Source organism: Homo sapiens, chromosome 13 (genome assembly GCF_000001405.40).
Source record: "Homo sapiens chromosome 13, GRCh38.p14 Primary Assembly".
Taxonomy (NCBI): domain Eukaryota; kingdom Metazoa; phylum Chordata; class Mammalia; order Primates; family Hominidae; genus Homo; species Homo sapiens.
Genome location: NC_000013.11, coordinates 36,972,680 through 36,993,515, shown reverse-complemented (window position 1 = coordinate 36,993,515; position 20,836 = coordinate 36,972,680). Strand labels below are relative to the sequence as shown.

Below are 20,836 nucleotides of genomic sequence, written 5' to 3'. Positions count from 1 at the left end.
ACCCTAAAGCTGTGCCTAACACTCTCCATTGTTATAGTCTAGATAGCAGAAAAAACAGATTTCATTTATGGAACTTCTCCATAAGACCAGGGAAGCTTTGAAGATCGCCAGATAGGGAAGAAACATGCCCGCGCACAGTTCCTCCTGGCCTTTAGGGTAGGAACCTTCGTTGCCTACCAATTTGTGCTTCCTTTTTCCCTAAGCACAGTTTCTTTATGCTCCATCTTGCCTTATAATTTCTAAAGCAGTCACGCCAATAGAAAGCTGCTTTCGTACCAGCCCCTGGGAAGCAGGTGTGTCCTTTCACATGCACAGAGAGCATTGGCAGGATCTGGCTTAGGAAGGGTAAGTGCTGCACTTTGAATAGTATGATGTGAAAGTTATGAACACAAGCCATCTCAGCAGTTTAGTGATACATGAAGGGAATGGCATGGAAAGCCACATTGGACACTTGCTGTTGAGATTATAGAGGTAGCCTAGACCCAGCTGAGGCTGTGCATCTTCTCCTGAGGAGCACTTTTTTGGTGGCCCTTGACCTGTGAGTGGCCAGCTGCTCTGCTGGAAGGATCAGGGATGCCCTCCCAGGGAGGACAAGCAAGGGAGGGGTTAGCAATTGGCCCCACTGCTCCCAAGGTTGGGAGGAAGTAGAAAGTTGAAATTATATTTAGTAGAAGTTTTTATTTAAAACAAACCAGTTTTCGCTAAGTTAAGTATTTATAGATTCCCTGTTAATGTCTTACAGTCTGAGGGGTGTGAGGAAAATTTTAGATACGGCTCTTGTTCTTGAGGCGTTTCAGACCAAGGGGGCACAAGGTATAGTACAAGAGAATACTGCAGTTGTACAGTGATGTTTATTATATCCTCAAACAACATACCAAAAAGGCGAGTAGGCACTCAGTAGGAACTCAGTTCACAAATGGTGGCCGAGTGACAGCTGCTGCCCTGTATACTAAAGGCCATGCTGTAAAGCTTCATTGTGCATCCATTCCAAACAGTTGTGGCTTTAACAATGTTATATTCCTTGAAGCTAGATACCATACTCTAGAGGGAGCTTTTCATCCTAACATAGTAAAGTCTTATTAGTTCACTTAGCTACTTATATAATGACTTTATCTTCTTGGTTTTGCAGTCTCAAGTATTGTGCCATTCCAGAGTAAACATCTACAGCACAAATAACTGTTCTTTGAACACATTTCTTCAGCTGTTAAGCAGAAGTCGAGAGTTCTGACTGGCACTAAAATACAAAGATGTAAAGACCACTTTCTACCTTGAAGGAGTTCACATCTATTAATAATACTGGAAATATGCATCAAATAATTAGAGCACTATGTGTTAGACATTTTTATCAATTAGGAACTATATCATAGAGTGGCTTAGATAATAAAGACGTTTAATTATCTCATCTGCCAGGAAGTCTAGAAATAGTTGATTCCAGAGTTGGCTTAGCATTTAAACAGGATCAGGTTGCTAGATCCATATCATTTTCAGTCTCACGCATTCCTTCATCACAAAATGGCCACAGCTGCAAATATTACATGTCCTGGAGTAGTAAGGGACAGCCAGGACTTTAAGAATCATCTCTGGGCTGGGCATGGTGGTTCATGCCCGTAATCCCAACACTTTGGGAGGCCAAGGTGGGAGGGTGGGAGGACTGCTTGAGCGCAAGAGTTCAAGGTTACAGTGAGCTGTGATCGCACGACTGAACTCCAGCCTGGGTAGCAGAGCAAGACCCTGTGTCAAAAAAAAAGAATCATCTCTGCGTGCATCTCTCCTTTTTAACTAGGAACGAAAATCTTTATCAGAAGTCCTCACCCCTCCCTCTACTAAAGCCCACACCCAAAGTTCACAAGCTAGAACTTAGTGACATGACCACCAAAGCCTGCAGGGAGGCTGCAAAAGTACTCAGCAAAGAGGAGTTAGACCAATCATGGTTCATCCCCTAGGGCTTCACAGTTGTCACTGCATTATTGGGGCCATAACAGCAAAGAAGGAGGCACTGTTTGCTGGTTTGGCAGCTAGTTAACAGTGCTACAACAGGACCATGGCTGCATTTGCTGGTTGAAACTGATAGATTTCAGCTATGTGCCAGATACCAGAAATAAAAATCTTTGCCTTTAAGTAGCTGACATTTACAGTTGCATTGTGATGAGTAAAGTAATAGTTGAATGAGAAAATGCTTCAGTAGTACACATTGCTATTAGAATTATACTTTTCTTTTTCCCGGGGGAAGGTGGGGATGGGCATGGAGGCTAGAAAAGAGAAATGGTGTTTGGCTGAGTCTTAAGCTGGCCTGACAGGTGAGGAAGCTGGAAGACAGTGTTCTGAGAAAAGGCATACAAGTGTAAGACCGTGGTATGGTCTGGAAATCTCAAATACTGCTAATGTTCACGGTACTAATGGGGCAGCCTCAGAAGCTGGCTAAAAAGGTGAAGGCTGAATCACAAAGGATCTCCTATGCTATGATAAGGAACTCATATGTGATGCTTAGAAGCCATAAGTCATCACTGAGGGTGTTTGAACAGGGCTTATGTGAACTGATTTCCATATTAGAAAGGCTACTCGTATAACTTTAGGAATGAATTAGGGAGTCAGGGTAGAGATGTGGGGACTTTAGGGGATAAGGCCCTGAACTAGGTCAGGAAGGTGTGAGGATAGCATGGATTTGAGAGGGATTTTACAAATCAGTCAGTGAGTTATAGTAGCCAGTGAATTGTAATGGGTGATAGAAATGGAAGATGATTCTCAGGTTTTCAATTTGAGCAACTTAGTAGATGATGATGCCATTTGCTGCAGCAAGGAATGTAGACTGAGCAGAAGTTGGGAGGAGGAGATGAATGAAATTCTGGAGTTTTTATTTATCCAATATATAACTAGGTGACACAGGAGAGAAGAGTCTGGGCTCTAAACAGACGTGAGATTCATAAATATAAGCTATAATTAAGCCCATGCAGTGACTCCCAGTGAGCTTTTATGTTGAGAAGAGAAGATGGCCAGGGGTTTCCCATTAGCTGTATGTACAGTGTAGAGTCAGTCCTTGTGTGGATTATCAGCATTTAAGGAGCAAGCCAAGCAAAAGGAGTTATTGGTGAAAACTTGGGAACAGTAGAGGAGGGCAAAGGCCAGATGAGAGCAACTTTACAGCTGCCTGTAGAGATGGTTGTCAAAGGAGAGGGTACCTGATGGGCTAAGGTTACAAGGAAACGGGATGTGGAAGAGCAAAGGGCATGAGCCCTACTACAGTGGACCGAAAAATAAATGGGTGATGAAATGCAGGTGGCAAATATAGATCACTATCTCACGACTTTGATTATAAAGCAGAGTAATGGCCGTAGCTTGAGAAAATAGTGAAGTCAAAGGAAAGTTTTTAGGATGCTGGCAGCTTGAGCAAGTCTGAGGCTGTGGAGCCAGCAGAGAGGAAGAGATTGAAGATTTAGAAGAGAATTTACTGCTGAGAGAGAGGAATTTGAGTGAAAAGATTCGGGAGAAATGGTCAGGATACAAACAGCCTCTCTGGGGAATAAGAGCGATTGCAGACCAGAACAAATACAAAAGTCATTAACCAGTGTTAAGGGCCCAATCATAAGTTTGTACCAGTCAGATAGCACATGGCTTTTGTGGGGTTTTTTTGTTGTTTTTTGTTGTTGTTGTTGTTTGTTTTTTAGCAGCTCAGTAGCTTAGGTAGAGGAGTCAAGAAAAGAAGGTCATTGCCCACTGTGGTGGTTCCTCTGCAGGAAACTGAACTATGATTTCAACCTAGTAGGTCAATGGCACCAAGATTTCTACAGCTCCTCCAGGTCATCAGAATGTACAGTGGGTGTAACCTAGTCACAAGAAGGGATAAACTGCAATAGCAGTGTTTGAGCCAAAGCAAGAAACACAGCTTATATAATTCTCTTTAATCCAAATTAATTTTATTCTGATTTTTATATAATTTCATAGGTAGCTTTTAAATATTGCCAGAAATATGGAAGTGACAAAGTACGTGTGATAACCCTGGTGAAGAATCGTGGAAAAGGTGGAGCGATTAGAATGGTAATACATATTTTCAACATTTTTATCTAAAATATGAAGGTATCTTGAATAATGTCTTTTGCAGACTTGTATGTTTGCCCACTGCTTGAATACCAGCATTTCAAGTTAGTGATAACATAATTTTAATAATAACTTCATGTTTTTAGTCAAATTTTAAGATGTGTCATATCTATAATATAGTGGGTGATTTAAAAATAGATTTATGTATTTATGTTTATCTTAAAGTTTAAAATGTTACCATCTACCTCTGTATCTTTGATAGAGTTAGCAGATAGCTTATGTGGTTTTTTGCAGTTTAAAAAATGTTTTTTGTATTAAGTTTTACCTTGATGAAGGTATGCTGTTATGCATGGTAGCATGAACTAAGATGAATTTGACTTGGGTCTGTCCTGATGAAATGTGCAGTCTAATAGGAAAGGTAAGCATTTGCATAAGTAAAAAAGAAGATTATAATTATGAGAGACATGCAGATAAAGTGCTAAGAAATTTCAAAAAAGAGGTTACTGTCAGCTGAGGCATATCAGCTATGAATCAAGCTGGAAGTTTAAAAATCAAGATATGTGAAAGAAAACCTAAATAATTGACTTTGAGGTCCATTTATTTATTTTTCCCTCATAAAAAGAAGTCTAAAGGTGGGCAGTCCAGGGCTTGTTCAACTCCACAGTCATCAGAAGTCCAGGCTTCTGCCGTTTCACTCCTTCTTCCTCATGCACACAGGGTGACTCCTGGAGCACTAGCCATCACGTCCACATTCAACAGGAAGGAGAAGGGAAATGGTCAGGATACAAATCATCACATGTTGCCCTCTTCACAGTGTCTTATGAGTTGGGTAATATTAGTTTGATTATTATATAGTTGAGGAAAGTGAGTAAAGAAGGTAAAGTAAATTACCCAGTGTTATCAGATGATAAGAGGTAGAGTCAAGATTTGGATGCAGTTAGTTTCACTCTGAAAGCCATGCTTTTAACCTCTCTGATAACTCTATAGAGAAAAGACTTGAGAAAACAGCACGCCATTTAGTAAAGCCAGAAAAGACAGAAGTAGGAACTCTTTGGATATGTACTAGAAACAGTGATTCACTTTGGCTGGGTCACAGGATATATGAAACAGAAAGAAAGTAGGATTGATGCAGTGTCATGATGGGCTTTAAATCTATCCATTTGTTTCTTTATTCAGCCAATGTTGTATTTTCATTAGAGACACTGAGATGAAAGACACCTATTCTGTCCTTAAGGACATCACAGTTTAGTAGGGAGACAGACCATTGCCATACAGTGTTGTAAATGCTATAATAGAAGTACATGCAAAAAGTTGGTGCCACCATCTTTTGAGGGCAGCAGCACAGATGTCCCAGAGGAGGCAAATTCTCGGCGGGGTCTTTAAGGAGGATTAGGACTTAACCACCTCCAAGTTGGGAGGGCAGGGAGCCTAGACGGGGAACATGAACAAAGGCACAGCAATGTGAAAGAACATGCCACAATAAAGGACCCACTCATGGTACCCACGTCTTGACTGGAGATAAGGCTGGAGCGGTGGGTGAGTTAAGGTCACAAACTGTAGACGAGGGGCTTTTACATTTTTTACCATTGACAGAGTGACACTTTAATCAGCCAGCATCAAGTGTAGCAATATTGGGCAAGGTATGATGAATATTTATTTGGATTATGATAGTGACAGAAGAGAAGAAAATGAGGGGATAAATGTGAGAGCTATTAAAATGACATAGCATTGGGTCTGGGATCAGAGAGAAGAATGACATGCTAAGCCATTCTTACATTGCTATAAAGAAATACCTGAGACTGGATAACATATAAAGAAAAGAGATGTGATTGATTGACGGTTCTGCATGCTGTACACGGAGCATGGTGCCAGCATTTGCCTCTAGTGAAGGCCTCAGGAAGCTTCCACTCATGATAGAAAGCGAAGTGGAAGCAGGAGCATCGTATGACGAGAACAGGAGCAAGTTAGCGGGCACGGTGGTGCCACACACTTTTAGACAACCAGATCTCATGAAAACTTGCTCACTATTGCAAGGACAGCACCAAGCTGTTCATGAGGGATCCACCCCCATGACCCAAACACCTCCCACTGGGCCCCACCTCCAACATTGGGGATCACATTGCAATATGAAATTTGGAGGGGACACAGATCCAAACTATGTCAAATGAGTACCACTGGCCTTGGGTAACAGGGAGGATGACGATGCCATTAATAGAAGGAATGAAACACTGGAGGAGGAGCTGGTATAAGAGGCAGTTATGTTGAGTTTGAGCCATGTTAAGTTTGAAACAACATGCAGTGGTATCCAGAATAGCCTAGGAGAGAGGATGTGAGTGAGTCATCCACATATGTCAGATGATAGTTGAACCTGAAGCCATTAAACTGGCAAAGAGGAGGTTACAGAGAAAAGGAGAATCAGGAAATCTTAAGGCAGTGAGGCACATGAGAAATAATGGGTATAAAATATGACTGAGGAAACACAAATGGGAGTTGCTATGGTAGACTGCCTTTTCAAGGAGCTGCAGCAAAGTGAAGGCCATAGACGGTAGAACAGGAAAGTAGGCTTAAACAAGTTTGATCACGCATCATTGAAATTAGTCACTTACTGGTTTTTTGCCCCATTTCAGACTAATAGCTCCAGTTTTTTTACCACCTCAGCCTCCCAAGTAGCTGGGACTACAGGCATGTGCCACTATATCAGGCTAATTTTTTAAATTTTTTTGTAGAGATGGAGTCTCACTGTATTGCCCAGACTGGTCTCAAACTCCTGAGCTCAAGCAATCCTTCCACCTCAGCTTCCCAAAGTGCTAGGATTGTAGTAGGTGTGAGTCATCTCACCTAGCCTTTTGCATTTGTTCTAATGGGTGTGATTAAAAAGACATCACAGATACTAACTAGTTAGCTTATTATACCATAGAATAAATGATCTGATTTCTCTCTACATTTGTATATGTCTTACCTATAGTCACACTATGTTGTGTTATCAAAGCAATTTTACTATATCAAACCATAAATATATTTGCACGTAAGAAATAAGGAATTCACTCAAATACATCAGAGAAATTAAAAGTTGATGTGCAGTTTATTTCTGTATGAAATATGCACTCATGGAGCCATAATTTGCACAAAAGACCAGCCAATTCAGAATTGAATGGCATAATTTTGCTGTTTCAAATACCGCAAATGGCATAACATAACATTTGGATTTATGCATAATTCTTAAAGTTTATTGACACTTTTTATTTCTTTAATTAATTTAGTAAACTTTAGATCCTATAATAAATGATACTAAAGACCTGTGCATTTCACAGCATATCTATATATTAGAATGTTTAATCTGTCTATAAACATGTTCTTTATATGTGGTTCTAAGTAGCCCGTAATTCATTTTAAGCATCATGACACGATAAACATATAATATGTATGATACGTACTGTCCGTTTTTTATTCTTTGTGATGCAGAATATCTTTAATTTGTCCAAACCTATTTTATTATCTTGGTATTTTCCAAGATATTTGTAGTATGACTTCACAAAGTTTTTAAAATAATGAAGATAGGCAATAGGTTCATTTGAGAAGATCTTAATATACAGGTAATTTGTTTTCAGTGAACTCTGGCCTCCTTCAGCCATCTCATACCTCATCTTTCACTCTTAGGTATTTTAAGTAGAACAGACTGAAGTGTCATTGAATTTAACCTGAGTTTTAACCAATTTTCTTTGACTTGAAATTTTAAAATACAGGGTATATTCAGTTCTCGAGGAGAAAAGATCCTTATGGCAGATGCTGATGGAGCCACAAAGTTTCCAGATGTTGAGAAATTAGAAAAGGGGCTAAATGATCTACAGCCTTGGCCTGTGAGTATAAGAATGTAGTTTAAATAACATTCAGTCAAGAATGCAGGAGAGCTAAAGTAAAGTTAAAGGAGAGTTTACCTATCAGTTTAAAAACTGAGTGTTTTTGGTATGAAATCCTTATACAAATGGTACAGCCCCATAGAGGAACTGATCATTTTGTTACAAATATTGTCTGATTTTATGAGATTCACTTGACAATTACTTATTTAATATTGTGACCATTTCTCTCTCTTGGTTTCTGATTGCTTCTACCCAAGTTTTAATATTTATTGTGCATATTCAATTAAGACTTTTATTTAAAAGTATAGCCTGAATTCCAGGTAAAGATGTGAAATGAAGCTGGATCACAGAATCCAGTTTTTGATGAAACAAACAAAATCACAAGCAGCAATCACTCAAAAAGGATTATTTGAAACTTCACACCATAACTTCAAAAAGTGGAGGTTGAGGAAAGAAATAAAATCCTAGTACCATTCCTACCTTTTAAAAGCCATTTAGAGAAATAAGATGAATTTGGCAAACGCTCAGGATCCTGAGCGTTTGCCAAATACTTCCCAATCTGGAAAAAATGAATAAGAGAATGAAAAAGCACCCTTGGACAACATCAAACAATATACCTACCATCACACAATATGTCAAACAATATACCTACCACCACACAATACGTCAGAATTTCAGCAGAAGCAAGAAAACTTGCTGAGGTCTGCCATTTTTCAGGACTGTAAGCTGAATTGGGGACACAGATCCATGTGACTAGATCCTTTCCTGGATGGAGTGTACCTTGTTCAAGACACTCGACAAAATCTCACAAGACCAGGGAACCCAAGTAACCAACAAAGCCACGTAGAGCTCCAGGGGAGGGTCCCTCCTCCCTGCCTTCCCACCGTCTACCCTCAAGTCCAGATATAATACTCAGGCCTTGAAATTCTAGTTTAGAGGGGGAAGAGATACAGGTACATCAAGGAGAATGTTCATTTACTGTAGGAGAGCTGCCCATGTTAATCATGACAAAATAAAAGAAAGAAATGGCAATCACACCAACATATAATTACACAAAAAAGAATTAAAGTTGCATACAAAAGATTTAAGACAGTGTAATCCAAGGAAAAGGACAAAATTACATGCAAGTATTCTGGCTAAAGAAATAAAACAATGAAAATAAGAATTTAGCAACACAGGTCTTCAAAGGTAAGATGACAAAACAACAAAATGGTATTAAAAGAAAAATTACAGGCCAGGTTTACATGCCTGTAATTCCAGCACTGTGGGAGGCCAGGGCAGGAAGATCACTTGAGGCCAGGAGTTTGAGCCCAGCCTGGGCAACATAACAAGACCCCATCTCTGTAAAAATAAGAGAAAAATTAACAGGGTGTGGTGGTGTATGCGTCTAGTCCCAGCTACTTAGGAGGCTGAGGCAGGAGGATCATTTGAGCCCAGCAGTTTGAGGTTATAGTGAGCTGTGATTGCCCCACCGCACTCCAGCCTCAGTGACAAAGCAAGAGCCTGTCTCAAAAAAAAAAAAAAAATTACAGAACTAAGGAAACAAATTGAGACCAAAATAAGATGAATATGTAAAACTATCTATGAATGAAATAGACCTAGTTTAGAACTGAATATTATTACATATTTATTAAGATCCTGTTATAGCAAAAACCAAACCAAACAACACAAAAAGGTAAACATATAAGGCCCCCCCAAATTTAATAATAATTACAGAAAAACTCACTGCATATCCTTCTAGAAATAAATATTTATTTAATTCCACACTTTGTGAAGTATATTTCTCCCCCACCATCATCCATCCCCATCCCTTGTATTTCTAGCTGTTTTTTTTGTTTTTTTCTAGGTGTTTTTTGTTTTTTTAAGATTCTAAGTGAATCAACTAATATAATTCTTAAGAGAATTAGCTGTAAAGATATTCATACCATTGCTCTTCAGACAAGTAGCACTAGCTGCATGTGTCTATTTAAATTTAAATAAAATGAAAATTTAGTTCCTCAGTTTCATTGGCCACATTTAAATTACTTGTTGCTAAAAGCTACCTTTTTTTTTTTTAAAGGAGATAAGGTCTTACTGTGTTGCCCAGGCTGGACTCAAACTCCATCCTCCTGCCTCAGCTTCCTGAATAGCTGGGACTACAGAAGTGAGCCACCATGCCCCGCTTGTTGTATAGCATTTCCATCATCACAAAAAGTTCTCTGGCTTATAACATGATATGAATTTATTGTTGGATATGTTGTAGTTCACTCTTACTAAAAAAGTATTTCATGTCCAACATCTTAGTAAATCATGATAGGCTAAAAGGAAAATCTCATTCATAAAGTTACTTGGTGTGATTTCCTGATTTTCTCCAGAGGACCCCAAGAGAAACTTGATAAATATTTCCCTTGCATTATCTTTCTAGAGGGAGTCACTCAGTGGGAGGGAGGGCATAAGGCATCAGATTTTTAGCAGCTGATTTTGTCATTCAGCAGTAGGGCAAAGATAATTTAAATGATTTTGCTGATGTTAGGGAGTGAACCAAACAATAAAACAAAAATCTGAACTTTATTCTTATAAATCTAGTTCCTTTATACTACTCTGTAAAGAAAAGGAGTTCTGATGCCATATTTTTTCCTTATCATAATCCCATTTACTACACTGTTACTAGAAATGTTAAGTTTTAAAGAATTAAAGCATGTGATTATCATTAAGCTATTAATTCGTAGCCTTGGTTTTACAGCACCTTAAAGTATCCCTAATTATTTAAGTGTCCCAGCTCAATTGAATTAATTTGAATTAAATTTAGTAAGTTTTATTAATATGCATCATGTAATACTCTTTGCAGGAGGTGGAAAGGAGGCAAATAAATGATAGGTGGTTAAAGTTACAAAATTCATAGTTTTTGGATCCACCCAGTGAAAAATATGGTTCTGACAAAGCTTATAAACAGCCAGTCATTGCTCTCAGAAAACTTACATTCTGAAGTTGACATGCATAGAGAAATTAGAAGAAATCTTCTTACTTATGTAATTCAGGTGTTAGAGAACTTTTTCTGTAAAGGACCATATAGTAAATATTTCAGCTTTAAAGCCAGTCAGCCTCTGTGGCAGCTGCTCAACGCTCTATTGTAGCATGAAAGTAGACATAGATAAAATACATCCTTTATTTACACAAATAAGCAGCAGATCAGATTTGGGCTACAGGCTATAGTTTGCTGACTCTTAAATCTAATTTAATCATTTATCCAATATTGGAAAGTTTTTACAACTACCTAGTGATCTTTCAGCCTCTACTGCATAGCTCTAGTGATGCTTAAGCAGCTCATTCTGTCTCAGCTCAGCTGTGAAGTTCCTCTAGACACCAAATGCAAATATGTCTCCTTTTAATCACCCCCTTCCATTGTTTCTGTCTTCTGTAGCTACACAAAATTATCTACTCCACTTCTTTGTGACAGCCCTTCAGAGAGTCAAAGCTGTTTTCCATGTGTATTCTCTGTTTTAGGCTGTCAGTTCTTACGGTTTTTGTTGTTGTTGTTTGTTTGTTTGTTTGTTTTTGAGACAGAGTCTCGCTTTGTCATCCAGGCTGGAGTGCAGTGGCGCAATCTCAGCTTACTGCAAGCTCCGCCTCCCGGGTTCACACCATTCTCCTGCCTCAGCCTCCCCAGTAGCTGGGACTACAGGCGCCTGCCACCATGCCCGGCTAATTTTTTTTTGTATTTTTAGTAGAGACAGGGTTTCACCGTGTTAGCCAGGATGGTCTCTATCTCCTGACTTCGTGATCCACCAGCCACGGCCTCCCAAAAGTGCTGGGATTACAGGCATGAACCACTGCGCCTGGCCCAGTTCTTACAGTTTTTAAACATAGCATATTTTTTTCTTATAATTTTCCACTGAAGATGTGTCTGTTCGTGTGGATTTGGTTTCCACATTACATTGTTACTTCGTACAGGTATTGCCAACTCTTTTTCCTGTTCATTGCCTTTGAACTTTGTCTCTCCATCTCTATACTGGTGTGGATTTCTTTCTGTGTTCTTTTGCTTTGTTTTCAGGAATGGAATTGTGGCTAGTTATCTCAACTTCAACTTGTTAGATTTCTGTGTCTAAAAGTGTAGGTTCTTGTTCTATCTTAGGGCAATAGCTGTTTTCTCAATTCATTTAAGCCACAAATTTGATAAGCATGCCTTGCATGTATTTCCCTAAGCCCTAATAAAAATAGCGACTGAAATAGTTCAGAAAATAATGAAACAGGAACGTGGGTTTTGTAGTCAAGTCCTATAATTACGTGACTGTCTCACTAGATGGCAGTCATTAGCTTAAATATCTTTTACAATATTGCTTTGACCATTTAAGTCATTTCTTTAGTACGTTTTACAGTGGTTTCTAATGTCTTCTTTCTTAGCTGATTTTTTTTTAATGACTACAAAAAGAAATTTATTACTACTTGCTTGTATTTCCTCTTAGAGTAACCAGGTTACATGTTCTGGTTCTGATGATTCTTATACAAAGTCATCTTACAAAAGTTGCCTACAATTTCTTTTCTGATAATAAGTGCTCCTGTAAGGTTTTAAACTACATGTATATAATTTAAGTAGAGCTTTGTATAATACATACAAATAAAATAGGGCATTTACATTTTCATACTAAAAATTTTATTTTATTTTATTTTATTTTTGAGACAGGGTCTCCCTGTGTCACCTGGGTTGGAGTGCAGTGGCTCAATCTCAGCTCACTGCAACCTCTGCCTCTTGGGCTTAAGCGATTCTCGTGCCTCAGCCTCCCGAGTAGCTGGAATTACAGGCACGCACCACCACGCCAGGCTATTTTTTGTGTTTTTTGGTAGAGATGGGGTTTCACTGTGTTGGCCAGGCTGGTCTCAAACTCCTGGCCTCAAGTGATCTGCCTGCCTCGGCCTCCCAAATTGTGGGGATTAGGAGCATGGGCCACCACGCTCAGCCAAAACTTTCATTTATATTTTACTTGTATTTTCTTTTCCCACATCTTTGTTTTTTAATATGCAAAGCTTTCCTCTCAGATTTTCAGTTTCCTAACTGGTAGTTAGTCTACCTCTTTTTAAAAATATGCTTGTTTTTTAGTAATTTTTCTAAGCAAAGTATATGCTGGCCAGGCACAGTGGCTCACATCTGTAATCCCAGCGCTTTGAGAGGCCATGGTGGGAGGATCGTTTGAGGCCAGGAGTATGAGACCAGCCTGGCCAACATAGCGAAATCCCGTCTCTACTAAAAATTAGCCAGGTGTCGTAGCGCACACCTGTAAGCCCAGCTACTCGGGAAGCTGAGGCATGAGAATCACTAGAACCTGGGAGGCAGAGGTTGCAGTGAGTCGGGACTGCGCCACTGCACTCCACCTTGGTCAACAGAGAGAGACTCTGTCTCAAAAAATAATAAAAAATTTTTTCAAAAAATAATCCCAAAGTATATGATGATCACTTGTTCAGTTGCTTAACTTTTCTAAATAGAATCAAAAATCCCTAACAGGCAAAATAAATGCTAAAAAGTGTGTATTTCATGATCATAGAGTCATTTCTCAGGCTGTGACTTAGGTTTTAAATTATTTTATTTATTTTTTATTATTATTTTTTGAGACAAGGTCTCATTCTGTCACCCAGCCTGGAGTGCAGTGATGCGATCTTGGCTCACTGCAACCTCTGCTTCCAGGGTTCAAGCAAATCTCATGTGTCAACCTCCCGAGTAGCTGAGAGTGCATGTGCAAACCACCATGCCTGGTTAATTGTTTGGTATTTTTAGCAGATGAGGTTTCACCATGTTGCCGAGGCTGGTCTTGAACTCCTGACCTCAAGCAGTCAGCCCTCCTTGGCCCCCAAAGTGCTGGGATTACAGGCTGAGTCACCACGCCTGGCCCTTAAATTCTGATTTAGACATAGCTCTAACAAGCTGAGTTTTTAGTTTTTTAAGCCCACAGATGACTAGAATTAATGGATATGAAAAAGATACGGAGAAAAATTACATTAAGAAGAACCATAGGAAGCAGATCTTAACTACACGCACAACTCAGTCTGGAGTGCTGGGTTGCTTACTAATGACCCTGAATGCTCTTCTATCTCTAATATAGTAATCCTTGGCCAGTTCTAGTTTTGTATACCAATGATTCATATCTGCGTGCATGGTTTGGTTCCTTAAAAGAATGTGACAGTTAGTCCTTCTCCCTTTTTTTGTGGACCATGTGAGCAAGTCTAAGAAGCTGGTATGTTTGTTTCACCCTCTCAATATATGGGTAGAAAAGCAGGCTTCCAAAAGAGAACTCAACCTCCAAAGTCATTTGTTTTAGACACCATAACTCTGAGGTAGTGATTAAAATGAGGAAATGTGGCCGGGCACAGTGGCTCATCCCTGTAATACCAGCACTTTGGGAACCTGAGGACAGGCGTTTGAGACCAGCCTGGCCAACATGGTAAAACCCCATCTCTACTAAAAATACAAAAACTTAGCCATGCATGGTGGCACACACCTGTAGTCCCAGCTACTCAGGAGGCCGAAGCAGGAGAATAACTTGAGCCCAAGAGGTGGAGGTTGCAGCGAGCCAAGATCGTGCCACTGCACTCCAGCCTGAGCTACAGAGCAAGACTCCATAATTAATAAATAAATAAGGAAATGTATGTCAGGTGTTTAGCATGTGTTCAGCACTCAACCAGTACCTGTAATTATTAACATTCATCTTTTTTTCTTTTTTTTTCCTTTTTTTTTTTTTAATTGAGACCAAATCTCACTCTGTCACCCAGGCTGGAGTGCAGTGGCACAATCTCAGCTCACTGCAGCCTCTGCCTCCTGGGTTCAAGTGATTCTCCTGCCTCAGCCTCCCAAACAGCTGGGATTACAGGCATCCACCACCAGGCCCGGCTAACTTTTTTTGTATTTTTAGTAGAGGTGGGGTCTCACCATGGTGGCCAGGGCTGGTCTTGAACTCCTGACCTCAAGTGATCCTCTCACCTGGGCCTCCCAAAATGCTGGGATTACAGGCGTGAGCCACCACGCCCGGCTAACATTCATCTTTGTGCTTGATATTTTTTCATCAGATCCAATTCTGTTACTGTTTATGATTGTTAATATAAATTAGCTATATCTCTATCTATTCCTTTTCTCCAGTAAATTGTGTGAAAATATTTAACTTAAAAAGTACTGAGGACCGGGCACAGTGGCTCACGCCTGTAATCCCAGCATTTCAGGAGACTGAGGCATGCGGATCACCCGAGGTCAGGAGTTTGAGACCAGCCTGGCCAACGTGGCAGAACCCCATCTCTACTGAAAATATAAAAATTAGCTGGGTGTGGTGGCACGTGCCCATAATCCCAGCTACTTGGGAGCTGAGATAGGAGAATCTCTTGAAGCCAGAAGGCGGAGGTTGCAGTGAGCTGAGATTGTGCCACTGCACTCCAGCCTGGGTGACGGAGTGAGATTCCGTCTCAAAAAAAAAAAAAAAACAAAGGTGGGGCGCAGTGACTCATGCCTATAATCCCAGCACTTTGGGAGGCCGAGGCGGGTGGATCATGAGGTCAGGAGATGGAGACCATCCTGGCTAACATGGTGAAACCCCGTCTCTACTAAAAATACAAAAAATTAGCCGGGCATGGTGCCACGTGCCTGTAATCGCAGCTACTCGGGAGGCTGAGGCAAGAGAATCGCTTGAACCCAGGAAGTGGTTGTTGCAATGAGCCGAGATCTTGCCACTGTACTCCAGCCTGGGCAACAGAGTGAGATTCCATTAAAAAAAAAAAAAAATACTGAGAAAGATTTTGATTGATTTAGCATTTCTTGCTAGAAGATAATATATACTTTACTTCTTACCACCGTTTTTGTTTTTTTTTTTTTTTTTTTTTTTTGGAGACAGTCTCACTCTGTCGCCCAGGCTAGAGTGCAGTAGCATGATCTCAGCTCACTGCAACCTACACTTCCCGAGTTCAAGCAATTCTCATGCCTTAGCCTCCCAAGTAGCTGGGAATACAGGTGTGTGCCACCATGCCTGGCTGATTTTTGTATTTTTAGTAGAGACGGGGTTTCACCATGTTGGCCAGGCTGGTCTTGAACTCATGGCCTCAAGCGATTCCCCTGCCTCAGCCTCCCAAAGTGCTGGGAGTATAGGCATGAGCCACTGCACCTATTTTTTTGTTTTTTTAAATGAGTTGGGATCTCCTTCTGTTGCCCAGGCTGGGGTGCAATGGTGCCATCATGACTCAGCCACAATCCTCTTACCTCAGCCTCCCTAGTGGCTAGGACTACAGGCACATGCCACCACACCTGCCTCACTTATTAAAAGCCAACTGTCATAGTAACTTAAATACTCATTTTAAAAAACCATGGGAAATTCAGTTATACTCCAAAAGAGGTTTAAAAGAAAGAGACTCCATGTCTACAGACATTTTCTAACATGGGCAGTTTTTAAAACAAAGATATCTTTCATTTCTGAAGAACAGCTAACTTTTTGAAAAAATGTTTAGATTAATTCTACCTGATAGTGAGATTGGTATCAGGGATTCAGCTCTTACATCAGAATTCTTCAGATACACAAAACTCTTAAAAGCTCTTGGGGACTTATGCTGAGATAAAAACGAGATTTGTAAAAGAAAGTTTTTTGGATTTTGATTTGTTTTTAGTTAAATTACATGGTATTTTAACTCTACTCATGAATCTTTGAAATGGAGAAGTATGTTCTTTTTTATGTATTACTCAATAGTGTTGTTGCTCTTTTCAAGTTTAAAGTTAAAACTGATTTGCCATATGCTATTTGAACTTTTAACATGCTTCCTCTCTAAGAAAATCATTCTCTCCCTTTCTGCACAAAGTACCTCTACCAGAAAAACAAGGGAATAAATTATTTTACTACTAAATAGTAGGCAAAGTATATAACACAATTTTTTTTTTTCCTGAGACAGAGTCTCGGTCTGTTGCCCAGGCTGGAGTGCAGTGGTGCGATCTCGGCTCACCGCAACCTCTGCCTCCCAGGTTCAAGCGATTCTCCTGCCTCAGCCTCCCAAGTAGCTGGGACTACAGGCGCTTGCAACCACAGCCGGCTAATTTATGTATTTTTAGTAGAAATGAGGTTTTGCCATGTTGGCCAGGCTAGTCTTGAACTCCTGACCTCAGGAGATCTGCCTGCCTTGGCCTCCCAAAGTGCTGGGATTATAGCCATGAACCACCGTGCCCAGCTAAGAAAATTCTTTTCTTTTTTTTTTTTTTTTTTTTTTTTTGAGACAGAGTCTTGCTCTGTCACTGAAGATGGAGTGCAATGGCGCAATCTTGTCTCACTGCAACCTCCACCTCCCAGATTCAAGCAGTTTCCTGCCTCAGCCTCCTGAGTAGCTGGGATTACAGGCATGCACCACCACTCCTGGCTAGTTTTTGTATTTTTAGTAGAAATGGTTTCACCATGTTGGCCAGACGGGTCTTGAACTCCTGACCTCAGGTGATCTGCCCACCTCAGCCTCCCAAAGTGCTAGGATTACAGGCATAAGCTACCGTGCCCAGCCTAGAAAATTCTTTAAAGAAAATATGGATAGCTAAAACATCCCCCAAACGTTTTATTTTTTTATTAATAATAAAGATAGAATAACCAGAACTGACAAGAATTTGATTTAATAGTCAATATCATACCAGTTAATGGGAATGTAAGTAACATGTTTTGTTTTGTTTTTTTTTTTTTGAGACAAGTTACTGCTCTGTTGCCCAGGCTGGAGTGCAGTGGTTCCTGCCTTGGCCTCCCGAGTAGCTGGGACTACAGGGGCACGCTACCATGCCTGGCCAATTTTTGTATTTTTAATAGAGATGGGGTTTCGCTATGTTGCCAAGGTTGGTCTCAAACGCCTGGTCTCAAGTGATGTGCCCACTTCGGCCTCCCAAAGTACTTGGATTACAGGTAAAGAACCTTTTAAAGGAAAATTTGGCCCATATGCATTAAAAAACATTCAGACTTTTAACTTAGTATTCTACATCTATGACTCCAAAGAAGGAAATCTAAAATACAGATAAGAGTTTTATATTCAAAGATGTTCTTTCAGTTGCCTTTCTATAACATAAAATTAGAAAGGACAACAAATAGGCAAATAGTCAAAGTAATGGTAAATCTGTACATTAAAATATTGTATAGCCCTTACAATTGACAAGAAAAAGAAAAACTACCATGCAGCACTATTATGACAAATTCTTGAAAGGTAGTCAAACTTGAATCTTATCAAGCCTCTGAATCTAACTACCAGTTTAGAGGAAGTACAGGGGACAGGAGAACATGTTAAATGTCACCATGGGGGTGCAATCAGCAACATCTAAAACCTAGGAAACTGTAGAGCAAACAATGTGGTTTCTTCAGGTTACAAGAAAAAAATTTAAAGAGGTCGGGAGAACCCACAGATAAAAGAAATACCAACTGATTTGTATGGATTTTTTTGGTGGTGGTGGTTTGTTTTTTTAGACAGAGTTTTACTCTTGTTGCCCAGGCTGGGATGCAATGGTGCAATCTTGGCTCACTGCACCCTCCGCCTCCTGAGTTCAAGCAATTCTCCTGCCGCAACCTCCCAAGTGGCTGGGACTACAGGCGCATGCCACCACGCCCAGCTAATTTTTGTATTTTTAGTAGAGACAGGGTTTCACCATGTAGGCCAGGATGATCTGGATATCTTGATCTTGTGATGTGCCTGCCTCGGCCACCCAAAGTGCTGGGATTACAGGCGTGAGCCACTGCGCCTGGCCCTGTATGGATTTTATTTGGCCATTCATTCAAACAAACTGAAAACATTTAAGAGAGAATTGGGCAAATTTGAAATATGTATGTCTGATGGTATTAAGGAATTATTGGTGTTTTAGGTGTCATAGTGGTACTATGATTGACATTATATGAATTTGTAACATATGATATCTAGAATTTTTTTCAAAATAATCCCAGGTTGGGTGGGATGGTGGTGGGGGGGCTTTACATAGAACAAGATTGGCAATGTGTTGCTAATTATTGAAGCTAGGTAGTAGGTATGTGGTGCTTCATTTTCCCCTTGTTTCTAGTTTTGCGTATGTTTGAAAATACCCATAATAAAAAGTATAAAAACAATAAACTTTAACATGAATAAATTTTTGTTGAAAAAGAACATGACATACATGAGTAAATTTGAGCTATGTTTTTTTGTAATGTAGAGAAAAAAAGAATACAAAGAAATATACACAGTTTAAAACAGTGGCTGCTTTTAGGTAGTAAGATAATTCATGAGTTTTCTCTTTAATTATCATTTATATATGTAAATTTATATACTTGCAAATTTTTTATAATGAGCACTTTTAAATTTATTTTTGTTAGTCATTCAAAATTCAAATGGTATAAGAAAGATATACAGTGAAACTAGCTCTACTTTTCATCTCTCAGTTACCCTCAGATATAACTAGTGTTACTCATTTCTTTTATTGGGAAGATGCATACTGTGTATGTATTCTTTTTTAAATTGCAAAGTGTGGTACTATACAGTGTTCTCTTGTTTCTACTTAACAATGTGTCTTGGAGATTGCACTATATTTATGCATAAAGACCTTCCTCATTCTTTCACATCTTCATAGCCAGTCCCTTCGGATGGAGATGCAGGTTTGCTACTTCAAATACTGAAATGATTAAACTCTATGAAAGTCATTTTACACATATGCAAGTATATTTGTCGGAAGAATTGTTGGAATTGCTGGGTCAGGTTATATGTATATTTGTAATTTTGATAACGTTTCAAATTGCTGTTGCTAGAGAGTGTGCGGGCACAGTATGGTAAAAAATTATAGGTTTTATTCGCATTACTCTTGGAATAAGTGTAATTGAGGATCTTTTCAGTTGTTCAAGAGCTATTTTCACTTCCTCTTTTGTGTACTCTGTTTCAAGTCTGCTGCTTTTCCAACTGTATTTTTGGGTACTTTTTAAAATAGTAAATGCACTTTATGCTTTTTGGAAATTAACCTTTTGTCTGTAGTATAAATTGCCAATATTTTCCCCCAGTTTTTTTGTCTTTTAGTTTTGAATATGGTTGGATTTTTTGTTATTTTATCATACAATTCTTTAAAATGTTACTAACAAATGGATCAGTCTTCTGGTTTTTTGTACTTGTACCTTCCTTCAGATTATTTACAAAATGATTTCTGATGTTTTACATTTAAATATTTGATGTATCTGGACTATGTCCCATTATTCAGTTAAGAAGCTCAAGTCCAACTTAATTTGGTTTCCAAGTGGCTACCACGATGTCCCACACCATTTGTCAGTTCGTCTTTTTCCCACTGATTTAAAAGGTCATCTTTATCATATTCTAAGTACTCATATGGCTTTGTGTATGTGTTTCCTGGCCTTTTCATTCTGTCCATGGAATTGTCCATGGATTTGTCTATTCACATTCCAGCACCTTAGTTTGAATTATTGTAGCTTTATCATATATTTTTTAAATTTTTGTGATGAGTCATCCTTTACTCTTGAATTTTCCTGGCTTTTTTCTTGATTATTTTTGCTTCTCTTTTAAAAATTTTTTTATTTTCTCACCACTATACTAACAAGGACCTTTTTTTTTTTTTTTGATGGAAAGTCTAAAATCAGCTTGTCCAGTTCAGTGAAAAATCATTTTGGCATTTTTATTGGTTTTAAGTTAGGAAGCATTGATTTTTTTTTTTTTTTTTTGAGACGGAGTCTTGCTCTGTCTCCCAGGCTGGAGCACAGTGGTGTGATCTCGGCTCACTGCAAGCTCTGCCTCCTGGGTTCACGCCATTCTCCTGCCTCAGCCTCCCGAGTAGCTGGGATTACAGGCGCCCGCCACCACGCCCAGCTAATTTTGTGAATTTTTAGTAGAGACGGGGTTTCGCTGTGTTAGCCAGGATGATCTCGATCTCCTGACCTCGTGATCTGCCCTCCTTGGCCTCCCAAAGTGCTGCGATTACAGGCGTGAGCCACCACGCCCGGCCAGAAGCATTGACTTTTTAATGCTGTTACTAT

The 20,836-nt window shown here is 39.5% G+C and overlaps 1 protein-coding gene across 4 annotated transcripts in view; it reads left to right on the top strand.

The window, feature by feature from the left end:
- ALG5 (ALG5 dolichyl-phosphate beta-glucosyltransferase) overlaps positions 1–20,836 on the top strand; it is a 49,630-nt gene that overhangs the window by 5,852 nt on the left and 22,942 nt on the right. For 3 of the 4 annotated variants that reach the window (XR_007063678.1, NM_013338.5, XM_047430283.1), the window contains 2 exons: positions 3,940–4,032; positions 7,776–7,889. Coding sequence is in view for 3 of the 4 variants with exons in the window: in NM_013338.5 (NP_037470.1) it covers positions 3,940–4,032; positions 7,776–7,889 (207 nt within the window). In the remaining variant the exon portion in view is untranslated. The remainder of the gene's footprint in view (positions 1–3,939; positions 4,033–7,775; positions 7,890–20,836) is intronic. The other variant, NM_001142364.1, reaches the window with a different exon arrangement.